Source organism: Homo sapiens, chromosome 17 (assembly GCF_000001405.40).
Source record: "Homo sapiens chromosome 17, GRCh38.p14 Primary Assembly".
Lineage (NCBI taxonomy): Eukaryota > Metazoa > Chordata > Mammalia > Primates > Hominidae > Homo > Homo sapiens.
Window position 1 is genome coordinate 79,617,315 of NC_000017.11, and position 25,789 is coordinate 79,643,103.

At 48.4% G+C, this 25,789-nt stretch overlaps 1 protein-coding gene across 5 annotated transcripts in view; it reads right to left on the bottom strand.

Moving 5' to 3' along the window:
• The window catches only part of RBFOX3 (RNA binding fox-1 homolog 3), a 576,227-nt gene that overhangs the window by 527,970 nt on the left and 22,468 nt on the right, over window positions 1–25,789 (bottom strand). Inside the window, exon 4 of one of the 5 annotated variants that reach the window (NM_001385807.1) lies at window positions 20,256–20,374. The exons of the other annotated variants lie outside the window; for them this stretch is intronic. The gene's annotated coding sequence lies outside the window, so the exon portion shown is untranslated. The remainder of the gene's footprint in view (window positions 1–20,255; window positions 20,375–25,789) is intronic. 5 annotated transcript variants of the gene reach the window in all.

Below are 25,789 nucleotides of genomic sequence, written 5' to 3' on the forward strand. Positions count from 1 at the left end.
CCCCATCCTTCCAGAAGCACCCCTAGATGCTCTTCTCTCCCCTCGTTCCCCTTCCATCCTCGCCTTCCCTCGATCACAAGCATCCCTACCTCCACGTCCACACCCACGGACACCCCAGGGAAATGGCTCTCTCGGGTCACCAGGGAAGGCTGAATCACAAACAGCCAGGCCTGCACTCCCTCCTTGGTTTACTTGATCCTTTACTGCAGGTGGCCCCGTGGCCAAGTCCCTTTCTAGAAACCTCGACTTCATCCTCCACCACAGCACCGTCTCCCACTCTTCTCTCCCGAGGTTGCACGTCAGCATCTCCACCTGTCTTTCTCTGCTTCTCCCTAAACACCAGCGTCCCATTTTCCCAGGTGATCCTATTTTTCTCCCCAATGAGCTCATCCCTCCAGTGGTCTCACTGTCGTGGAAGTCATCCCCGCATTTTGAGCTGAAAGCAACTTCAGAGGTCATGTTGCACAGTCCGCCCATATCACAGATGAGAACACTGAGGCCCAGAATGTCCCGTGGCTCGCCAGCAGCTCTGGGTCCTGGCCTGGGATGCTGCCTACTGCGCCAGCCCCACTGCCCCGCCGCCTCTTGTGTCACATGCAGGGAGCAGCAAGCGCATCTGCGATGTCACATGTGCACCTCCAGGCTTGATATTTTATTTAAGAGTGTGCGACTCCATATCAGTGCCCAGTGGCTTTCAGTTCTGACATTTATCTTCTCCAGAGGAGGATGAACCACTTGCACGCCGTCCGTCTCTCCTCCCACGTGGATGGGAAATGTCAGAGGGAAGTCCAGGTAGTTCAGGGTCCCACGTCCACACCACAAGGATTTACTGTTTTTGTGCTGCTTGATGACACAGCTGTGTTTGGGGAGCGGCGATAGCCTAAAAAACACACAAGTGGAAATAGCAAAGGTTTTCTGAGGCACCGTCAATTTCTGCAGCCGGGGCAGTGGCCAGTGTCTCCGGGAACAGGCGCCGCAGTCCACTCAGGGGCCCACAGGTTCTTCCCCGTCTTCCATCTCCTTGTCTTGAGTGGGACGTGAGCCGTATCTCTGAGCTCAGCCTGTGATTGCACAATAATACCACCCAGAAAACAAATTAAAAATAGGAAAAATCCATCCAAGCCGTGTGTCTGCTCAGGCAGAATAGTGTCAGATTGCTAGGCAACTCCAGGCAGTCCTGGGGGAAGGAGGGCCGTGCTCAGCTTGTTCTGCAGAAGTAGAGTCCTTGTCCCTTTTGTGTGGATGTGCTCAGCCGAATCTCAGCAAAAGTCATGAACAGAAAGGAGAGGCGGGCTGCATAAGCCGGCGGAGTGCACATCCGTCTGGACAAATGGATTTTCCGGAGGATGGAGAAGAGACGGGGGTGTCCACGTGATGAGAAACATCTGGATACGCGCTGGAAAAATCAATCTGATTTCTCTGTGCTTCCCAAGATCCAGGTGTTTACAATTGTGTAGGCAAAGCGTCTGAATGTTAATGAAGTCTTTCCTCTCAATATCCTGCATCTCCCTCAGCAAGAGGCAAATGAAAACTAGGCTCAGCAGGCCTGGGAGAGACGGGGAGCAGGAGGAGGAACTAGAGAGACCCAGGCAGAGGAAGCCGGGAAATGGAACTGGGAGATCACACTCGCCCAGTCGGGGTTTCTGCTCCCAGGAAGGAGATGGAGGCAACAGGGCAAGAAAGACACGTGCATTTTTCACAGTTCAGTCGAAACCATAATCATATTAATATGTTTGTGGATGCTAAGACGTTGGCTATAAGCATCAAATACTTTTCAAAGGAAGAGGCAGGGGACGTGGCATCGTGAAAAATAGCACCAATTTTCCATTTGATTGTAAGCTCTTTAGCACTCCAGGAGGGTAGAACCTCGACAGCGTCTTCTCTTTTAGGAGGTGCAGAGACTGCCCAGGGCCAGCACAAAAGCATGGATTCAGGTCCTGGGGCTGCCACAACAAAGTCCCACAAAACCAGAGGCTGAAAACACAGAAACTTATTCTCTCACAGTTCTGGAGGCCAGGTGTTTGAAATCAAGGTGTCAGTGGGGCCAGGCTCTCTCAAAAGGCTCCAGGGGGACTCCCTCCCGTGCTTCCCTCCTCGCTCCTGGGGGCCAGGGGCAATCCCAGGTACTCCGGGGCTTGTGGCTGCGTCTCTCTGACCTCCGCCTCTGTCTTCATGCAGCCTTCTCCTCTGCCCTTCTTTGTACAAGGGCAGCAGTCGTTGGACTTAGGGCCACCCTGATCCTGTATGACTTCATCTTATCTAACTATACCTGCAAAGGTACTGTGTCCAAATAAGGCAGGCTCTGAAGTTCTAGGTGGACATGAACAGGGGATGGGGGGCAGCTCAACCCACTACAAAGGGCTTGTGAAGGGACTCAGGCAGGCTCCGGGGCAGGTGGACTCCAGCAATCCTCTGATCTCCTCCACGTCCCGGACGGACAGGGTGTCACCCAGGAAGCACTCCAGGGACAAGCCATTCACCATCTCCCCTCCTCCAGCCCTGGGGGAGCCTCCTCTACTGGAAAACATCCTTTTCAACAGCAACCAAATTCTCCTCTGGCCGTCGTCCAGGTTGGAGTTCAGACCTACCTTCTGGAGTAACGAAAAATAACAAAAACAGCAATCGTGGCTGCTTCCCGCACCCTGGAGCCCAAGCCAACCACACGCGCACACACGCACATGCACACACATGCACATGCACACACACACGTGCACACATGCATATGCACACACGCACATGCACACATATGTACATGCACACATGCACACAAGCACATGCACACATGTGTGCATGCACGCATATGCACACATACACACATGCACACGCGCACACACATGCACGCGCGGACATGCACACACATGCACACACATGTGCACATGCACACACGTGCACATGCACACACAGGGACATGCACACACGCACATGCACACATACGCACATGCACACACACGTGCACACATACGCATATGCGCACACACGCACACACGCACATGCACAAATATGTACATACACGCACGCACACAGACATGCACACACACGGACATGGACACACACGGACATACACACACATGCACACATGCCCACATGCACACACACGGACATGCACACACGCACGTGCACACATGCACATGCACACATGCGCACACACATGCACACGTGCACACACGCACGTGCACACACGCGCACACACATGCGCATACGTGCACATGCATACGCGCACATGCACACACGCATGCACACATGTGCACACCCGCGCGTGCACACACGCACGCACACACACGCACGCACGCACACATGCACACACGCACATGCACACACGCACACGCACACACACGGACATGCACACACGCACATGCACACACGCACATGCACACATGTGCCCATGCCGTCCTGTAGGTATTTCTCAGGCGACCCCCTCCACACCCTGATGCCCTCCTGGAACCCCACATGATTCTCTGGGGGTTCCTCAATGGTCCCAGAACCTGGCTCCACCCTCCACAGCAGGGCAAACGGCAGAGAAGGGTTATCATTCCTGCCCTTGGGACCCAGGCTGTCCACTGTGACGTCCTTAGCTGCCACATCACACCCGATCTCATTTCAGGCTGGTTTCTTCTACGCCGTTCCTGGGGACATCCAGACATCAGTGGGGTACTTCTCTTACTCCTGTTAAAGTTAATCCAACTTCTTTTTTTTTTTTTTTTTGAGATGGAGTCTCATTCTGTTGCCCAGGTGGGAGTGCAGTGGCACAATCTCAGCTCACTGCAAGCTCCACCTCCCAGGTTCAAGTGACTCTCCTGCCTCAGCCTCCCAAGTAGCTGGGACTACAGGCACGTGCCACCACGCCCGGCTTATTTTTCTATTTTTAGTAGAGATGTGGTTTCACCATGCTGGCCAGGCGGGTCTCGAACTCCTGACCTCAGGTGATCCGCCCGCCTCGGCCTCCCAAAGTGCTGGAATTACAGGTGTGAGCCACCACGCCCAGCCTGTCCTTCACTTTGTATTATCCCAAAGTTGAAACCCAGCACCGAAGGGCTTGATCCAAGCTGGGGGAAACCGTTGAGCAGGAATGGAGCCCTGAGCAACCCTGCAAAGCCAACGATACCCAGCGAGGGGGCCATCCTGAATCTACACATTTTCAAGGTGCAGATATTAAATAACCATAGTAAAAGCACGTCTCTACCAACAGGCAGAAGTGAGACTTCACTGAATCATGTTGGTCGTTAGAGTTTGCAATACACTGAGTGCCTGGGTGGCAAATTCTGACCTGTACAAGTGTCCATGAACTTCTCAGTGATGACTGTCGGGTCAATGTCAGTTTCATCGGGGCATAACCCAGTGTCCTTCAGAAACCAAGTGCGGGAGTCGTGCATGTCACTAAATGTTCATGCGTGCCTGCAGGACTCAGGGGCACGTGGCTGTGTGGGATGCAGCCTCTATGGGAAGCTTGCTGCTAGCACTGCTAGCACGTGTTACTAGGTGTACACAGGCTAACCCAGTCACCACCCACAAAGGCAGCAGCTGCTGGTGGCTGCTCTCACCCGTGTGAAGACACACACATCATACAAGATCGAGCGTGTGTTCATGACACCGCTTAAGAGACACCCGAATCCGGGGAGAAGGATAAGGGACAGGCTGCAGAGAAGACCGCAAGCTAATCTCAGACCTCTCAGACCCTGAACTGTGCGTGTCTTTGAATTCACCCTTAATGTAAATTTCATTCTCCTTAGTTCAAGATCTTTCAAAAGTAGGGCTTTTCTAAGGTGTCCTTTCATTCTCATTCTCCTCCTGGAGACTCTCTGTGGGTTTCTCTTCAGCCATGCACATGTTACTAGGTATACACAGGCTAACCCAGTCACCACCCACAAAGGCAGCAGCTGCTGGCCACCACCGCCAGCCAGACTCACATCTTGGCACACCTTCAGACCGCCTGCCCGTGGAGCCTGATGGGGTGGGGGGTGGCAGGACCGAGCCCCCTCCTTCCAGTTCCAACCTGCTCTTGGAGAAGCATCTGTCACGGGGAGTGGCAGCCCCGTACCCTGCACCCTCCCCGGGCTCTCCCTGCCTCCCCGAGACTCAGCCAGAGGAGGTGGGGCTGGGAGGTGGCCTCTCCCTCTCACAGGGCCAGACCACCACTGCTCTCCCTCCCCCAGGTCTGAGTTGGCTCAGGCCACCGTCTCAGAGGACCGCAGACTGTGGATGTAAACATTCATTCTCCCGCAGATCTTGAGGCCAGACGTCCAAGATGGAGATGTCAGCAGGACGGCTTCCTTCGGAGGCCTCTCTCCTTGCTCTCAGCTGGCCGTCCCCTCCCTGTGTCCTCCACAGCCGTCCCCATGTGGCCTGCATTCTACATTCCCTCTTCCACTGAGGACACCAGTCAGGTTGGATTGGGGCCCATCCCACCACCTCATTTCACCTGAATCACCTCTTCAAAGATCCTCTCTCCAAACACGGTCACACGCAGAGGTCCTGGGAGTTAGGACGGCACCATATAGATTTTGAGGGGCCCATGATATACCTGTTTCTTCTACTAATGTCTTTATTCCAACACAGCCACAGTGGTTCCTGTTCTGCAAACGTGGCAGAGCCTCCGCTCCTCCCCTTCCCCAGCTGCCACTCCCCATCAGCCACAGGCCCCATCTCTACCACGCCCTGTCCTCAGTGCCCTCCTGGCCTCCCCACTGCCCTGCCTCAGCCCAGACCCTCAGCTCCCTCCCCTACACTCATGTACACCTGACCGGGGAGCCAGAAACGTGCCCCAGCCCTGTTACTGCCCCAGCAGAATCCTTCCCAGCTGAAGAAGAGACTGCCTCCACTCAGGATCCTTCCCTGACCTCTGCAGGTGTGCTCATCCCCATCTACAGATGAAGAAACTGAGGACTTGATAGACGCAGAGCAAGGTATGGGGTCAAGGCTGAACTTCTAGAAGCAACCAAAACTACCAAAAAACTGGTTCAAGAACACCACCATGCCCACTGCTGCCCACAGCCTGGGCGCTGAGTTTGAGATACCCCACAGGAGGGAGGTAGAATACTGGCCCCAAAATGTCCACGTCCTAACCCCTGGAACCTGTGACTATCTTAGGTTACACAGCAAGGAGGAAGGAAGGTTCCAGATGGGATTGGGGTTGCTCACTGGTGACCTTGAGATGGGAGGTGATCCTGGATGATCCAGGTGGCCCAACGTAACCACAGGGTCCTTAAAAGTGGAAGAGGAGACTGGGCGCAGTGGCTCAGACCTGTAATCCCAGCACTTTGGGAGGCCAAGGCGGGGTGGATTGCTTGAGGTCAGGAGTTTGAGACCAGCCTGGCCAACATGGTGAAACGCTGTCTCTACTAAAAAATAAATAAATAAAAAATTAGCCAGGCATGGTGGCCCACACCTGCAATCCCAGCTACTTAGGAGGCTGAGGCAGGAGAATCGCTTGAACCCAGGAGATGGGGATTGCAGTCAGCCAAGACTGCACCACTGCACTCCAGCCTGAGCAACAAGAGCTAAACTCTGTCTCTAAAAAAAAAAAAAAAAAAAGTGGAGGAGGCAAGAGAGTCGGTGTCAGAGACAATGTGATGATGGAGGTGGGTCGGAGAGAGCTGTGCTGCTGGCTCCGCAGGGTGAGGGCTTCCATCTTGAAGAAGGAAGAGGGAGCTGGGAGCCAAGGAGCGCAAGCAGCCTCCAGAGACTAGAAGAGGCCCGGAAACAGACCGCACCTTTGACACTCCAGAAGGGAATGCAGCCTTTCTGCATTTTAGCCCAGAGAGGCCAGTGTCGGACTTCTGACCTCCAGAACGGCAAGATAATGAACTTCTGTGTTTTAAGCCACTAGGTTTGTTGCAGTTTGTTACGGTAGTCCTAGAAAACTTAATCTACCACTTCTACACCAAGAAGGGTGACGCTTCAACCACCCCAGTACAGCTTCCTAGAGAGGGGAGGCCTCATCTCCTTCCCCGAGACCCGTCAGCTCCCGGATCAGGGTCTGCCATGGACACACCTGCCTGGCCAAGTCCGGGCCACATGGCTGGCCTTAGCTGCAGGGGAGGCTGGGGAAGGGAGGGAGGCTGGGGAAGGGAGGGAGGCAGCCCTCACCCTACTAAGTTCCATCATTCCAGAAAGTCCTCCATCACAGAGAGGCCTCCAGTTGCCAGGCAGCCAGAAAGACAGGGAGGAGCTCCAGGGCAGGGGGTTTGGTGGAATCTGGAGACTCAAGTCCAACAGCGACCACAGAGCCCTCTCAGAGACCAGCAAGTCCGAACTAAATCCAGAGCCGAGCGAAGGGAGCAGCTCACCCTGGTGCCTAGCACCACCTCAGTCCTCTGTCTCTGTTGAGGATTTTCTCGGGACCTGCTTCTCTTGTGTCCAGGATGGCCAAGGTGCTTCGGCACTTCTGGAAGTAAGGGCCCTGCCGACCCTCCACTCACAGGCAGCCCTTGGAGCCTGCAGACGCCTCTCCCATGTCACTGAGGTTCTCCCACCTCTGAACTCACCCTTAGAAGGCACCCCCGCCCCCCACCCCCCGCCCCATCCCTCGAGGAGAACCATCCGGAGCTCCCACTTTGGGCACACTCACTGCCAGCCAAGCTCAAGGAAGGGGTCCCCACCACGAAGCGCCCCAAGGGCAGGACTCCTGCCCTGTGTACTCAGAGACTGGGGAAGGCAGCATGTGTGTGTGTTTAAAGGGCGTGATTGAGGTGTGACTGGCATATGGCACACCTCCCATGGTTAAAGGGTACAGTTTATGCGCTATGACATGCAGATATGCCCGTGAAACCATCACCACCATCAGGATAGGGAACATATCCGTCACCCCCAAGGTTTCCTCCTGCCCTGATGTGCCCTCCTCCTCCTCCTCCCTCTCCCTGTATTCCCCACCCCCGGGCAACCACTGCCTTGCTGTCTGTCCCTGTACATGAGTTTGCCTTTTCTGGAGTTTATATAAGTGAAATGACACAGTACATACTTCTTTGTTGCCTGGCTGCCTTCCCTCAGCACCATTCCCCAGAGATGCGGCCATGCCCTTGCCTGCACCAAAGGTTCACTCCTTTTCATTGCTGAGTAGTATTCCATCGCATGGATGTGCTACAATTTGCTTAGCTGCTGTTGGTGTACATTTATCTCCAGGTTAGGGGTATCGTAAATCAAGGCACTATCAACATTTGGATGGACATGTGCTTTTATTTTTAAAAATAAGTGAGTTTGGGGCCAGGCGTGGTGGCTCACACCTGTAATCCCAGCATTTTGGGAGGCTGAGTGGGGGCGGATCACCTGAGGTCAGGAATTCGAGACCAGCCTGGCCAACATGGTGAAATCCCATCTCTACTAAAAATACAAAAATCACCTGGGCATGGCACTAGGTGCCCATAATCCCAGCTACTCAGGAGGCTGAGGCAGGAGAATTGCTTGAACCCGGGAGGTGGAAGTTGCAGTGAGCCGAAATCGAGCCATTGCACTCCAGCCTGAGCAACAAGAGCAAAACTCCGTCTCAAAAATAAATAAATAAATGAGTTGGGTAAAGGTGGGCATGTGGCCCACTCTCACTCGCCCACACACGTGCGCAGACGGGGGTGGCTGCGGCCGCTAGGGCATGGGAGGCAGCGCCCCTTACCACCAGCAGAAGCCCCAACTTTGAGAGCGAGGGGGTTTGGGGGGACGAGGTGCTGTTTATGGTTTTGCAGTTGCTCCAGGGGAAAGGCGGGCTAATGAACAGTTAGTGGGAAATAGTTTATTGAAGTGAACAGAACAAGAATACATTAAAATTATTAAGACTGTGGCCTGGGGCAGTAAGCGGCATCCTGTTTTCTCATAGTTTACATGACAGTGGGAGAACACAGGAAGTGGGGGGAGGATGCTGGGGGCAAGGAGATGCAGGGAGGCCTCTGCCAAGGGTCAGGTGGACCAGAAACTTCCCTGGACTCATCCTCCAAAAGTTAGCATCTTCTAGCAGACCCTCCAACCTTTGCACCTCCCACCCCATCCCATTCCGTCCACAGCAGTGCCTCCTAGCCACTTCTCTTTGCTTATTAACAAAAGAAAAGGGGGAAAGCCTTCCTTCCCAGCTAGGGCAGGATGCTGTCTCATCACCTGTCTCAGCGGGCCACGCCAGTAAGCAGGAAGCGGCCACTGTCGCTTCTGCAGGGAAGGAATGGGCTTCCCGGTGTCTCCGGGGCTTAATACTAAAATCATCATCCCCCGTCTGGAACCAGGATTCTCACGGCCCCATCTGCATTCTCCTTTTTTGTGCCAATAGCAGGATTCTCGATATTCAGCTGGGCACCTCATCGTCCAGGATAAAGACCACGCCTCCCGGGCTGGGTGTGAGTCTGTGACTACTCTCCCACCGATGGGATATACACAGAAGTGACAGCTCCAGCTCCCGGGTCACACACTGAAGGGGGCATCCCCCCATCTCTACCGCATGTTTGCAATGCGGTGAATTGTGAGCCTTCTTGGGCCAAGCATGTGGGCCGACACCCTTAGGATGGGGAGTCCCGAGAGAGAAGGTGCTCGAGCCTCCGGTGACCTCCCGGGGCTCAGCCACCTGCCTCCAGATGGTCACTTCTGAGAAAATTAACTTCTGATCTGTGGAAGACCCATGGAAGCCTGGAGCCTCGGTCATGCTCAGCCTCATGTATGTCTTAACGGAAACACCATTTCTATCTCAATTCAGCCTCGAGCCTCAGAATGAAACAGGAAGATGCACCCAGCAAATAATACTTTTGGCATGTTACTAATAAAATAAGGAAAGGAAAAACCTGGGGCTCAGACGGTCATCTGATTTGCCAACAGCCACACACGGAGGTGTGACCAGGCTGGGGACTGCAGGAGCCCTGGCCCTTCCCTGTCCAGGGAATGTGCCCTCTGAGGAGCCTGGTCTGTTATTCTGTTTCCAGCAGTAGTAATCAAGGACCCTGGGCTCCCAGGTGACTTTGACCAGTGCCTCCACCTGATGCCACCTTCCCCCCAGGTGCATCTTCAACATAGCTTCCCCCACCCCCTGGAGTGTCCAGCTGGGCACAACCAGGCCCCATGGCACCTGAGAAATAGGAACACAGCCTCCCCGGTGAAGTAGAGGAGAGTTTAAGCCAGGACTTTGCCTGTGCCGAGGGCCTGGGAGCCGGGCTCAGCTCTGCCTGCCTGCCAGGGATGGGACCAGGGCTCGGCTTTCTCCTCTGCTAACAGGAAAGACCCCATAAGCCCTCAGGCCTGACTCCAGGAGTGAGACCTGTGATTCTATGTGAAACAGCCCCAGGCTGCCCACAGCAAGCCAAAGAATAAGAGCCCGCGCCTCTCCAAGGATCCGAGACCCAAGCAGCCTGGTGCCTTCTGCAAAACCTCTTCCTGCTTCTCTTCTGCAGGGAGCAGCGGCGTAGGTGGCTGGGGTGGTAGGGAGGAGAGGTGAGCTGCTTATTGCTGGAGATGACTTTCCTCTCTCCTCCTCCTTCTCTGGGCAGCTCGTTTTTTCCAAAATAACTCTTCTTCCTCCCTCCCCAGGTTGCTAGTTTCTGTCTCCTCCAGGCTTCCAAGTGCCCCCTGCAAGGGCAGCCGGCGGAGGGAGCAGGGGAGGGCTTACGTTCTCAAGATGCAGAAGTACAAGCGTAGACAAAAGAGACCCCCACGGTCCCCGTCAACCCCCTCACCTCTGTTTGAGCCCCCATCACTCCCCTGGGCTGCCTCTCTCTGCTGGCGGCAGAACAACTGCACAGAGGCTCTGCTCAGGCCTGCTCCCCGCCCAAGGGTCCTCACAGCATCCCAGGCCTCAGAGAAAGCGGCTGCTTTAAGCATTTAAAAGCTCCTACAGGCTCAACTCCCCCTCCTCTGTTCCAGGACCCCCAACTCCAAACAAACAGGTGTGCTGATCTATGCTTGACCAGGCCGGAGCCCTGGTCCCCAGCTGCCCTTGGCTCAAGTCACCCTCCCAGCCTAGCACATCCTTCTGTTCCCCACCCCAAACAAGGACAGACCTAGGGATGACCAACCCCGGCCTGGCCCCAATGCGCTTCCTGCTCAGACCTCTGCAAACCTGATCGTTTCCCCCTCGAAGACTCCCCTGGATTGTGGGACACCAGTTCTGATCTGAGATCTTAGGGCTAACACAGGAAATTAGGGGATGGGTGCATAGATGCAATCCCTGCTTCATCACAAGGCCGCAGAGTCCTTGTCTGCCATGACGTGCCCGGGTTTAGACTGAAGAGGCAGGAGCTGGGGCCAGCGAGGGGAGCCCTGAACTCCATTCCTTTTAATTGAGGCGAAATTTATATAACATAAAAGTAGCCATTTAAAGTGTGCAATTGAGGGGCACTCGGTGCATTCACCATGTTTTGTAGCCAGCACCTCTATCTTGCTGCACCTTCCATCATCCCAGAAGGAAAGACCTTACCCATGAGGCAGCAATTCCCTGTCTCCCACCACTGGACTTTGTGTTTCCTTGGAAAGCTTTTGATCCGAGTGCCAATCTGCCCTCCAGAAAGGCAGATTGTCTATTTGATGATAAATAGACAAAAGGCAACTTTCTTCTATTATTCTTGTTTCACAGCACCGGCCCTTTGGAATAGGAGCATCACACTGCCCTTGTCCCCTGGGCTTGACCACTGCCCCAAGCAACACGAGGGGGCATGAAGACCACAGCAGTGTCCTGAGCTGCCTTCGTGATCCACTTTGCTATTTGCCCAAAGAAAGGAGTAGCTCATGCAGGGCCTTTGTTCATTCATTGATTCAACAACTATTCTTTGCCACCTTTGAAGTGACCGGCTCTGGGGCAGGCAGAGGGGCCCACAGGCACGAGCAAGATGCAATCCTGCCCCCGCGCCCTGGGTGTGGAGTTGGGGAGACAGGTGGGTGAACAGCCAGATAACAAGTCCACCTGGTAAGTGCTCTGAGAAAAACCTGAAGAAATAATCAACCTATAGGGTGGCTTTGCCATCTTCTCCAAATATTGTCCTCCAAATTTCATGCAGCCATCTTCACCTCCCAGGCCATCTTTAACTACCAAAGCCAGGGCCACACATGCTGGGTGACACCTCAGCATGCAGGGACTTGAAGAGGCCACTCACAAAAGAAGACTGAGAAATGACTCCAAAGCAGGGACAGTGTCGAATCCCACCAGTCACCAAAGCAAAGCAAATCAAAACAAAAGCCCACTTCCATTTTTTCCACCTGCCAGATTTTGAAAATGCCCATTGCACCCAGTGCTTCAGGGGGTGCGGGGAAATGACCTCTCATTCGCTTGCTGGTGGGATTCGGAGTCAGTGTAATCTTTCTGGAGGGCAGATTGGCACTCGGATCAAAAGCTTTCCAAATGTGTTTAACCTTTAACTCGGCAATTCCACTTATAGGAATTTACCCTAAGGAGAAACTCAGGAACAAACACAAAGACTTATCTGGAAAGATTTATGTACTAGAATATTTGCACCATTGCTCATAACATCAAAAGATTGAAAACAAACTAAATGTCCAACTCCAGGGTGCTTGGTAAATAATTTGTGCACTCATTAAAAATCCTATTGTAGAAGAATATTGAATGCCATTGCAAAGTGTTTATAAACCATTAAATGAAAAGATTTATAAAACAGAATGTGCAAAGCAATCCCATTATACTCCCCAGGCCTCCGAAGCAGGCTGGAAGGACACACTCCTGGGCCTGGCAGTGGTTTCCTCTGTGTAAGTGGACGACGGGCTATTTTGTATTTTCTTTTTTGAATTTTATGATTATATTCTAAATTTTCTACATTGGATCTGAATCGTATTTGTAATTAAGAAAACTATAAGGAAAAATTTTTTAACTTGGTAAGGCATGTCATGGATCCAGTTTCTCCCCCAAGGTACCAGCTCACAGGGGAAGGAAGACTAAAGGACTGCCTCCTGATGAACGTGGGGGTCCGCCTGTAGGGTTTCCACGATGCTCGAGAACCCCGCAGAGTCTCAGGCCTTTGACCAAGAAGACTCCAGAGTGAGCGCCTTAGGGAAACACGGTCGGCCAAGCATGCAGCACCTCCGTGCCCAGACTGGATACGGCACTAATGATGCAAACAAGTCATCGCTCAGTCAGGGAGATGGGTCATTGTTGCTGTTGTTTTTATTTGTTGTTCAGTGGCCAGATGCAAACGTGTTGCATAAGAGCCACCCAGAGGCGGCTTGAGCTCTTCTCGGAGGAAATGTGGGTACTGTGTTGCTTGATCCTGCCTCTTGACAGTCCTTTCCAGATTCAAGTTTAAATGGGTTTGCCGGTATCAGGATGTTAGGGGCTCTCCAAATGCCAGTGGAGCAAATGGCCCATTGCAGACACATTTCCAACCCTCATCAGGGGCTTCTCAGGAAAAGGCCCAGCCCGTGTTAATTATTATTTGAACACAAGTTCTGGAAGTTTCATCCTTACAAAATATTTTTAACGCTCGTGGTTCAGGAGAGGAAGGGAGAGAAGTGAGTAACACTTACTGACTCCCTACTATGCACTAGGCACCTAACGTGTATTTTCTCGTTTAACCCTCAAAATAATGCAGCGGGTCTGCATTATTGACCCCAGTTTACAGTTGTGGAAACTGAGTCTCTGAGAGTCTAAGTGACCCAGACCTGCAAGGTTTGCTCAGCACCCAGTAGCAGGCTTCCCCCAGAGCAAGCAACCCGGAAAAGCACGACAGCCCCCGCCCCACGAGGTGGAGGCCACAGTCTCTTCAGAACCTCATGGCCAGGGACGGCCGTCAGAGCCAGAGTCCACTCAGACAGCAAAGCAAGTCGTCTCTCCACTACCTCACGCCAGTGCCTCTTGCATTTGGATTAACCAGGGTGATTTCTAAATCTGGACGTCCATCCTGCAGCCCACACAGGGTGCAGTCAACCCTCTGGGGTGGGACTCGCATCAGGACGTTGAAACCTCCCCAGGCGGCTCCAGTGTGAGAACCACTGCAGATGTGGGAAGGAACCCTCCAGCCTTCAAATCACCACATCATCTGCCTCGGCCATCTCAAGAAATTCATCAGGAAGTGTGGGTCTAAACACTCTATAGATGCCCCCAGGGTCAAGAAGGAGACACGGGCAGTGAGAGTGATTCCAGGAAGAAAGTCGTTGACTGCAATTCACACGGTGCACGGGCCTATTTGGAGGCTTAGGGAGGACCCAGATGTGAATTTACAAGCCAGTGTCAGACACCAGCTTGTACACTCATCTGCCTTTCAGGGACTAGGTCCTCCCAGACCAGGAAGACATCCACCTTCAGCGTCCAGACTGGGGTCCATGAGGGACCGGCCAGGGCTGACCACACGGGGCCTGGGAGGCACCACCTTCCCCACCATTTCTCATGGTATTGACCTTTGATTATGTTCTCAAGGCACCGAGGAAGTGTCTTCTCACCGCAGTGTCTCAGGAATTCCCTGCAACCCTCCCCAGTGGCTCACCTCTCAGGAGGAGCTGCCCACACTTCCCTAGAGCGGGGGCCAGAAGATGGAGAAATGATGGAGACCCATCTTCACGGGCCTAGCTCCAGGACACAGGCAGACCCAGCCACCCTCAGGCTGCTCCCCCTGGAAGAAGGATGCCAGCTCTGTGGGGTCCCTGGAGTGTCGTTTATAATTGCCCTTGCACAGCACCCTGACGGAGGGTACCCAGCAGATCCCTCAAGGTTCTCCCTGCCCCCAGAGAATGAACAGCTCACGGACAGCAGAGCTCCGTGTCATCCGCCTCCTGCCAGGGCACAGGGGATCCTGGCAGCCGATGTGCCGTGGTGCCTGCGGCAGGGCAGGCTGCGCAGGGAGACAGCGAGCCCTCCGCGCTGCAGGAATGTGGGCCTCCTTCCTTGAGAATGCAACATTTCAGCAACCAAGAGACAACTCTATTGGGAGAACAAGAGCTAATTAAATTTACTGGGATCACTGAAGATGAAATTATTTAATATTCTGAACAGAATTTAATATTTGAAAGCACGAACAGCCTTGGTTCGTTGTAGACGGGTTTTCCATCACCTGGGTCTGCATTAGGAGGATCCGTATACAGATGAGGGGTGGGGCCGGGGATGTGCTGCTTCTGGAAACCAGAGGAGATGGGAGAGGAACTGGAAATGGGCAGGAGGACAAAGTCCTCTTCGGGATCCTGGATGATTCTGCTCCACGTTTCCAGAGGGACCCCTGTTGGTGCCTCTAAAGTGATGGAAAATCACAGTTGTGGTGCCAGGACCCCATGTCTGGGGTCTCTGACCACTGCCTGCCTCCGCTCCACCTATCTCTAACCCAGGGTCATTGCTGGCCAAGTCACATGGTGAAGTCAGAGGATCCGGAAGCCAGTGCTCTTCCCTGGCATGCACGAGTCCCCGGCCACACGCTCCTGTGGCGGAGTACAGTGGCTCACACCTGTAATCCCAGCACTTCCGGAGGCTGAGGCAGGCAGATCCTTTGAGCCCAGGAGTCTGAGACCAGCCTGGGCAACATAGCAAGACCACGTATCTACTAAAAAAAAAAAAAAAAAAAAGTTAGCAAGGCCTGATGGTGCACACCTGTGGTTCCAGCTACTTAGGAGGCTAAGTAAGGCAGGAGGATGGCTTGGGCCTGGAGGTCAAGGCTACAGTGAGCTGTGATCACAACACTGTACTCCAGCCTGGGCAACAGAGCAAGACCCTGCCTTGAAAAATTTCATTTAAAACACTCCTGTATTCCACAGGGGACACTGAAAGAGAGATGGGCACTTTTACCAAGTCCCTGAGATACCCAAGTTTGGACCCAGTCAGGAATTTCTCAGCCATTTTTCCTAAAGTCACTCTGCAGACCATCCACGAAGTTCCTCAAGGAGAGTTTCTCCTAAAGGAGCTGTCGGCCCATGTTGGCAACGCCCCACAGTGTTCACGGGGCCATGACTCGGCCTCCAGAGTCCGGGGCTCGGTTTCCCCAGATACCCTGGAAAAACTGTGAGTACAGAGCCCAGGAGCCACAGCTAAGACTCAGCCACCTGGGGCTCCTGCATGGGCAAAGTGGCCGCCAGAAGACTCCCTGGAGAGCTTGACTGTGGGGCCCCAGGCCAGAGCCACTGTCAGTGCCAGCGGGCAAGGCCACCACCAACCGGAGAAGCTCTGGGCTCAGGTCATTCCGGGTGCACCCCCTCCCCGGGGCGGCAGCTGCAGGGAGAACACAGAACGCGTGTCCACCGTAGGGAGGTGGGCTGGGTGGGCAGGCCCCAGTGTGAGCCCTGCAGGGCCCTGGTCTCATGGATGCACAGGTGAGCCACCTCCTCACTGCCTGATCAAACCCCAGATGGGCAGATGCCTCCGCAGGCCCCCAGTGGGACTTGGTGCCAGCCAGACTCCAGCGGCTGTTTTTTTTTTTAACTGTAACGGATTCTGTGTGCTCCACACCCTGAGGGCCTGGAGACTGGACATGCTTTGTAACTGAAATTAGAAGTCAATAAACCGAGGGCCAGGTGGGTCAGTAGAATTTCCATCGTGAGGCATCGGAGGCTGCTCTCGGCACATCAGCCCTGGCTCCTTCTCTCATCCTTCCAACCCTTCACCCCAGTGAGTGGGAGTTTCTAAGAGCCCCGTGTCCTGATGTGCCACCCTTGGAAGAACAAAACCCTGAGACAAACTCGTATTTTGCTTTTTTTAATTGTCTCTCCCACTTTGCTTCCTGTTCAAACAGATTATCATGCACATCTGTAATCCCCACTTAAGCACCTAAGACCCCCTCTAAAATAACCCATTAATCCATTCCCACTCCTGTCTGCTGCTATTAACATGTTTGTCTTCGACGCCTTTGGCAGCTCATCCCCTTCCTCACCGGGCTTATCTGCCTTGCCCGGCATTGGGCATCCCATCCAGAGGTGGGAGGGGTGGCAGCCTGGAGCCCTGGAGGCCAGGGCCACCTCCACACCTCTCCCATGCTTCCCAGACGCCACCCTCACACTCTGCTTTCTGTACTGGTGAAGGAGACAGGTAAGAACTGCAGATCCATCTGCCCTTGGCCATGGGTCAGCCCTGCCCACCTCACCGCCAGAGCCACTGGTGAGCAGGAAAGGCTGGGGCACCTCCCCTCGTCTACCAGTAGGAAAAGAGTGAATCCCACTTCCACCCACACCCTCTATTCCATTCCAGGGGATCCAAAGGCCTTCCGCCCCTGCTGTCCTCAAGACAGGCTAAAACCCACACCCAAAGTGGGCTTTCTGGGCCAACCAACTATGGACACAGTACATAGCCTGCAAAGCCTCCTTGGACATCAGAGCTGCCCCAGAACCCCGGCGTTCCCATAGACCCGCAAATGGGGTTCTATAGAGCACCCACTGCATGTCCGACTCTGTCTAAAGACCGTGGGTAACACAGAAGCATGAGGCACAGAGGGTCCTCAGGGAGCCTTCAGGGTAATTGACCAACTCACCCCTAAGACAACGGGAGGGAGCACATGGGCTGTGAGTGTCTTGGCTGCACACAGAGAGGCCTACTGTTCTGCCATTTCCCATCCTCATGTCCTGGAACTTTCCTTCCATTTCCTCAATTATAAAACTGGGGAGCAATGGCTCACACCTGTAATCCCAGCACTTTGGGAGGCCGAGGCGGGTAGATCACTTGAGGTCAGGAGTTCGAGACCACCCTGGCCAACATGATGAAACTCTGTCTCTACTAAAATTACAAAAATTAGCCAGGTGTGGTGGCATGCACCTGTAATCCCAGCTACTCAGGAGGTTGAGGCAGGAGAATTGCTTGAACCCAGGAGGCAGAGGTTGCAGCAAGCCGAGATCACCCCACTGCATTCCAGCTTGGGCAATAAAGCGAGACTCCATCTCAAAAAAAAAAAAAAAAAAAAAAAAAAAAAAAAAAAAAAAAAACGTTGGCACTGACATAGATGATATCTAAGGTTCCTTCTGGCTCTCAAATTGTCTGCTTCTGTAATTCAGATCTGAGCAGTGAGGCATGGGTAAGACACTCCCAGAGTCTCAGGGATGCCTGGTTAAGGGCTGGAGGGGGCATGGAAGGCTTCCTGGCATCACCAGGATGCAGCCCAGATACTCATGGGCCCTGGCACCTGGAACCATCTGCTCAAAGGCATCACGTGGCAACCTGATCGTCCCATCATCTTCCAAAGCCTCAGAAGAGCAGCTGAGAAGGATCCTGGGAGCCCTGTCCTGTTACATAGGAGCTTCCCTGCCACGTTCCCTTCCTGCCTCCTCCCAGACGATTCTCTTGGATGCAAAGCAAGAATCTGAGGAGGCTGAGAGAAAGTCACTTTCACCAGATGATAATATTACACATCATTTTAAAATCTGAGCATGGAGAATGGTTAAATGCTGTGTAAAACATAGAAGACATTAAAGGAAAAACTTCTGGCTAAAAACAAACAACTTCTGTACTGGAAAAAATAGAGACTATAAACAAAGTTAAAAGAAATATTACACAGTGGGGGAGAGATTTATATCCCATATAACAAAAGATTGATTTCCTTCATAAACAAAAAGTTACGGCAAATTAAGAAGTAAAGCATGAACAACGAGTGGGAAAAATGCTGTTTCACAGAAAAATATAAATGGTCATTAAACATAGGAAAAGAGGCTCCACCTCATTCATCATTAAAGAAATTCAACTAATAGCAAGTTACGATTATTAAGTGTCAAAGTGGCAAAAATATTAAATAATACCAGGATAGAACAAGGTTCTGAGCAAAAAGACACCATTTGATACATGGTAGGTAAGTCTATAAATTGATAAACCCACGTGGAAGACCTATTTGGTGATATTTATTATTTTTTAAATGTTTGTGCCTTTGATCTGAAAATTCCATTTCCAGGAATCTATCCCACTGATTTACCCTGACAAGTAAGCCAAGGTGGACATACAATGCATAAATGCAACAGAAGCAGGAAATATACTATAGGGTGAGGGGGAGTATTTTCAAAGTGAGATAGAGCTATATGTGCTGATAGAACACTATATCCAAGATATATTGTGACCAAAAAACAGTACACATAAAATTCCATTTATGTAGAGAAAAAGGGATTATAAAGGATTATGTGTGTGTGTGCATGATTTTCTGAATATACCTATATATATAATTTTCTGAAAAAAATACACTACCAATTTTACTGCTGGGCCATGGGAATAAAGGGGGCATTAAGAAAGGTCAACCAGGGAGACTTTAGTTTTCATTTTTTAACTTTTCTATACTGTTTTCATGTTTTTGCTATGATCAAATATAATTTTTTAATAGAAAAATTGTTTTAAGAGAGATTTTTCTTTAAAATGGTTTTAAGAACAGAAGTAAAAGTGTTTACTTTTACTTAACTTCAATCGCATACAAAACTCTTTTGTATGCAATGTGATCAGCTTTAAATGGACTATTATAACTATAAGATGTTTTATGTAAGCCTCACTGTAATCACAAGGAGTAAAATCTCTAGTGGATACACAAAAGCAAAAGGAATCAAAGTATGCCACTATAAAAAAATCAACAAATCATGAAGGAAGGCAGGAAGAAAGAAAAAAAGGAACTACAAAACAATCAGAAAACAAATTAATAAAATGACAAGAGTAAGTTTTTGCTTATAAACATTTACATTACATGTAAATAGACTAAATTCTCCAAACATAAGATGTAGAATGTCTGAGTGGATTTAAAAAAAACAAGATTCAACAACATGCTGCCTATAAGAGACTCGTTTTAGCTTTAAGGATGCACATAGACTGAAAGTAAAGCGATGGGAAAGGATATTCCATACAAATGATAACATGGGTGGCTATGCTTATGTCAGATAAAATAGACTTTAAGTCAAAAACTGTTATAAGAGAAAAAGGTTACTATATAATGATAAAAGGGTCATTTCTACAAGAGATATAACAAATATAAGTCTATATGCACTCAACATCAGATCACCTAAATATATAAAGCAAACATTGAAAGAGCTAAAGGGAGTGATAGACAGCAATATAACAGTAGTAGGGGACTTTAATATCTCACTCTCTATAGTGGACAGATGATTCAGAAAGAAAATCAATAAGGAAACAGCAAAACTAAGCAACAGTATAGACCAAAAGAACCTAACACATATACAGAACTTTCTACTCAATAGCAGAAAAATATACATTTTTCTCAAGTGCACTTGGAACATTCTCCAGGATAGATCACATGTTAGGTCACAAAAAAATTTTAACAAATTCGGCTAATGTCTGTAATCCCAGCACTTTGGGAGGCTGAGGGGGGTGGATCACCTGAGGTCAGGAGTTCGAGACCAGCCTGGCTAACATGGTGAAACCCCGTTTCTATTAAAAATACAAAAAATTAGCCTGGCGTGGTGGCACACACCTGTAATCCCAGCTACTCAGGAGGATGAGGCAGGAGAATCACTTGAACCCAGGAGGTGGAGGTTGCAGTGAGCCGAGATCACACCATTGAACTCCAGCTTGGGCAACAAGAGCAAAACTCTGTCAAGAAAGGGAAGGGAAGGGGAGCGAAGGCGAAGGGAAGGGAGGGGAGGGGAGGGGAGAGGAGAGGAGGGGAGGGGAAGGGAGGGGAAGGGAGGGGAAGAGAAGGGAAGGGAAGGGAAGGGAAGGGAAGGGAAGGGAAGGGGAAAAGGGAAAGGAAAGGAATTTTAACAAATTCAAGATGATCTAAATTATTCCAAGTACCTTCTCTGACCACAATGAGAAGAAACTAGAAATCAATAACAATAAGAAAATTAGAAAATTCACAAATATGTGGAAACTAAATAACACATACTTGAGCAACCATTGGACAAAAGAGGAAATCAAAAGGGAATTTTAAAAATATCTCAAGACAAAAACAAAAACACAATACACCAAAATGTATGGGATATAGCAAAAGCAGTTCCAAGAGGAAAGCTTATTAAAATAAATGCCTACATTTTTAAAAAGAAGAAGAAAGATTCCAAATAAACAACTACTTTATATCTCAAGGAAGTAGAAAAAGAGAAAACTGAGCTCAAATATAGTAGAAGAAGGGAAATAATAAGGATTAGAGCAGACATAAGTCAAATAGAGAATAGAAAAACAATAGGTAAAATTAACAAAACTGAGTTGGTTTTTTTTTTTTTTTTAAATAAAATAAAATTGACAAACCCTTAGCAATACAAAGAAAGAGAGAAGGCTCAAATAAATAAAGTCAGAAATTTTAAAAGAGGTATTAAAATGAATGTCTCTGAAATAAAAAAGATTATAAGGGACTATCATGTATAATTATATGCCAACAAATGGGATAATCTAGAAGAAATGCATAAATTTTTAGAAACATGCCACCTACCAAAACTGAGTCAGGAAGAAATAGAAAGCCTAAACATCCTATAGTTTGGATGTTTGTCTCCTCCAATCTCATGTTGAAATCTGATCCCCAATGTTGCAGGTGGGACCTAATGGGAGGTGTTTGGGTCACAGGAGTGGATCCTTCATGAATACGTTAATGCCCTTTCTTAGGGAAGAGGGGTGAGCAAGTTCTTGCTCTATTAGTTCCTGTGAAAGCTGGTTGTTATAAAGAGCCTGGCACCTCCCCACTTGCTCTCTCTTGCTTCCTCTCCTGCCATGTGATCTCTGCACAAGCCAGCTCCCCTTCACCTTCTACATGAGTGGCAGCAACCTGAGGCCCTCATGAGAAGCAGATGCTGGCATCACACTTTTTGTAGTCTGTGAGCCAAATAAATCTCTTTTCTTTATAAATTACCCATGCTCAGCTATTTTATAGCAAGACAAAATGGACTAAAATACAGAAAAATATCAAAGAAGGAGACTGAATCAGTAATCAAAAACCACTCAACAAAGAAAAGCCCTGAATCAAATGGCTTCACAGTTGAATTATATGGAACAATCAAAGAACTAATACTAGTTCTTCTTAAAGTCTTCCAAAAAATAGAAAAAGAGGGAACACTTCCAAGCTAATTTTATTTATTTTTTTATTTTTTATTGTTTATTTTTTTTTGAGACAGAGTCTCACTCTGTCGCCCAGGCTGGAGTGCAGCGGCGCAATCTCGGCTCACTGCAAGCTCTGCCTCCCAGGTTCACGCCATTCTCCTGCCTCAGCCTCCCAAGTAGCTGGGACTACAGGCACCCACCACCGCGCCCGGCTAATTTTTTTGGTATTTTTAGTAGAGATGGGGTTTCACTGTGTTAGCCAGGATGGTCTCAATCTCCTGACCTCGTGATCTGCCTACCTTGGCCTCCCAAAGTGCTGGGATTACAGGCGTGAGCCACCGCACCCAGCCCCAAGCTAATTTTATGAGGCTAGCATCACCCTAATAGCACAGTCAGACAAAGACACCACAAGAAATGAAAACTACAGGGCAATATCTCTGATGAACATAGATGCAAAAAAATTCCCAATAAGATACTAGTAAACTGAACTCAACAACACATTAAAAGGATTATACATTATGACCAAGTGGAATTTATCCCTGGAATGCAAGAATGGTTCAACATACATAAATCAATGTTATATACTACATTAACAGAATGAAAGGGAAAATCTATATAATCATCTAAATAGACATAGAAAAAGCATCTGACAAAGTTTAACATCCATTCATGATTAAAACTCTCAACAAAATAGCTATAGAAGAAACTTACCTCAACACAGTAAAAGCCCATAACTAATATCATAATCAATGGGAAAAAAACTGAAAGCCTTACTATAAGATCTGGTGCGAGTAAAGGATGCCCACTCCCATCATTTCTATTCAACGTAGTACAGGAAGTTCTAGCCAGTGCTATTAGACAAGAAAAAGAAATAAAAGCATCCAAATCAGAAAGAAGTAAATTTTTTTCTATTTGCAGATGGCAAGATGATATACGTAGAAAACCCTAAAAACTCAACAACCAAAAAACTGCTTTAAAAAATTCTGTAAAATTACAGAATACAAAGTCAACATACAAAGATCAATTGTGTTTCTATACACAACAATTAAGTATGTGAAAAGGAAATTAAGAAAGTAATCCCATTCACAATAGCAACAAAAAAAGACTTAGGAATAAACTTAAAGAGGTTGAGGGCTTGTACAGTGAAAATTATAAAACACTGATGCAGGAAATTAAAGAAAATAGACATAAATGAAAGGACATCCTGTGTTCATGGATTGGAATAATTAATATAGTTAAAATGTGCATACCACCTACCACGCAAAGTGATCCACAAATTCAGTGCAATCCCTATCAAAATCCCGATGGCATTCTTTACAAAAACGAAAAAATAATCCCAAAATTTGTATGGAATCACAAAAGATCCTGAATAGCCAAGCAATTTTGAACAAGAACAAAGCGGGAGGCATTACACTTCTTGATTTCAAATATCACAAAGCTACAGTAATCAAAATATTATGGTACTGATATAAAACAGATATATAGACCAATCGAACAAAATAGAGAGCCCAGAAATAAATTCATTCATTTATAATCAACAGATCTTCAACAAGGGTGCCAAAAACACACAATGGAGAAAGGCTAATCTCTTTAATAACTGGTGTTTAAAAAAACTGAAGATTCACATACAGGAGAATAAAACTGGACTCTCACCTCACTCCATACACAAAAATCAACTTAAAATGGATTAAAGACATACATGTAAGACCCAAAGCCATAAAACTACTAGAAGAAAACATAGGGAAAAAAACTTCTTAACATTGGTCTGGCCAATGATTTTTTTGGATATGACACCAAAAGCATAGGCAATAATTCTAAAAATAAGTGAGATTGCATCAAACTAAAAAGCTTCTGCATAACAAAGGAAACAATAAAGCCAGGGTGAAAAGGAAAGCTATAGAATGGGAGGAATATTTGCAAATCATATATCTAACAAGAAGTTAATATCCAAAATATATAAGGAACTCAAACAACTTAATAGCAAAGAAACAAATAACCCAAGTTTAAAATGGGCTAAGTACTTGAATGACATTTCTCAAAAGAAGTCATACAAATGGCCAATAGGTATATGAAAAGGTGGTCATTATTAACTATCAGAGAAATGCAAAGCAAAACCACAGTTAGATATTCCCTCACACTTGTTAGGATGGCTATTATCAAAAAGACAAAAGATAACAAGTATGGGCAAGGATGCGAAGAAAAGGGAAACCTTGTACATTGTTGGTAGAAATGTATGTTGGTACAGCCATTAGGGAAAACAGTATGGAGTCCTTAAAAATTAAAAATAGAACTACCATATGATCCAGCAAGACTACTTCTAGGTATATATTCAAAGAAAATGAAATCAGTTTCTCAAAGAGACAACTGCACCCCCATGTTTATTGCAGCATTATTCACAATTGCCAAGATATGGAAATGGGAAACAACTTAAGTGTCCATCAGTAAATGAATGGTTAAAGAAGACGTTACATACATAATAGAAAACTATTCAGCCTTTAAAAAGAAGAAAATCCTGCCATTTGCAACAACACAAATGAACCTGGAGGACTGATATGATTTGGATCTGTGTCCCCACCCAAATCTCATGTCTAATTCTAATCCCCAATGTTGGAGGAGGGGCCTGGTGGGAAGTGATTGGATTATGGGGGAGGTTTCTCATGTTTTAACACCATCTCCCTTGGTGCTGTTGTGCTGATAATGAGTTCTCATGAGACCTGGTTGTTTAAAAATGTGTGGCACCTTCCCCTCTCTCTTCCTCTTGCTCTGGCCATGTAAAGTGCTAGCTCCCCCTGCACCTTCCACCATGATTATAAGTTTCCTGAGGCCTCCCCAGAAGCAGATGCCACCATGCTTCCTGTACAACCTGCAGAACTGTGAACCAATTAAACCTCTTTTTTTAATGAGTTACCCAGTCTCAGGAATTTCTTTATGGCAAAGTAAGAATGGACTAGTACAAGGACATTATGTTAAGTGAAATAAGCCAGACACAGAATGACAAATACCGCATTATCTCACTTATATGTGGAATCTAAAAATGTCAAACTCATAAAAACAAATAATAGAATGATGGCTGCCATTGCTGAAGGGTGGGAGGAAATGAGGAGGTGTTGGCCAAAGGACATAAAGGTCCGGTTATGTGGGATAAATAAGTTCCAGAAATCTAATGTACATTATGGTGACTATAGTTAATAATAGTTGAAATTTGCCAAGAGGGTAGATTTTTAAGTATCTTCACCACAACAAAAAATACTGCAACTATGTGAAGTGATAGGCATGTTAATTTGCTTGATTGCAGTAACCATTTCACAATGTATATATATATACAAATTCATCATGTTTTACACCTTAAATATATACAATTTTTATTTGTCAAGTATACCTCCATAAAGCTAGAGGAAAGTATTTTAAGAAAGCATGCTGTCATTTTCTTGTGAATTTAATGATCTCTCTCACTTCACTTTTTTATTGTTAATGTCATATGGGCTTATTATAGGGAAAAAAAGTATAAAGTCTAGATAAAGTAAAAAGTACAGCAGACAAAGCTAATATATAAATTAAAATGGAACACTAAAACAAACAAAGTTAACCACAAAGAAGGCCGAGAAGGAGGTACAAATGCACGAGAAACAGAGGACACAAACAGAAAACAAATAGGAAAATGATAGATCAATTCTAGCCATATCAATAAGTACGCAAAATACCAATGGACTAAATCTTTCAGTTAAAAGGTGGAGGTTATCAGCTACAAATATAGATCGAGCACTTTTTAAAAGGCTTAAAATGAGCCTGAGCAACATAGAGAGACCTCGTCTCTACAAAAAATTAAATTAGCCTGGCATAGTGGTGCACTCCTATAGTCTCAGCTACTCAGGAGGCTGAGCTGGGAGGATCGCTCAAGCCCAAGAGTTCAAGGTTGCAGTGAGCTGTGATCACACCACTCCACTCTGGCCTGAGCAACAAAGTTGGACCCTGTCTCTA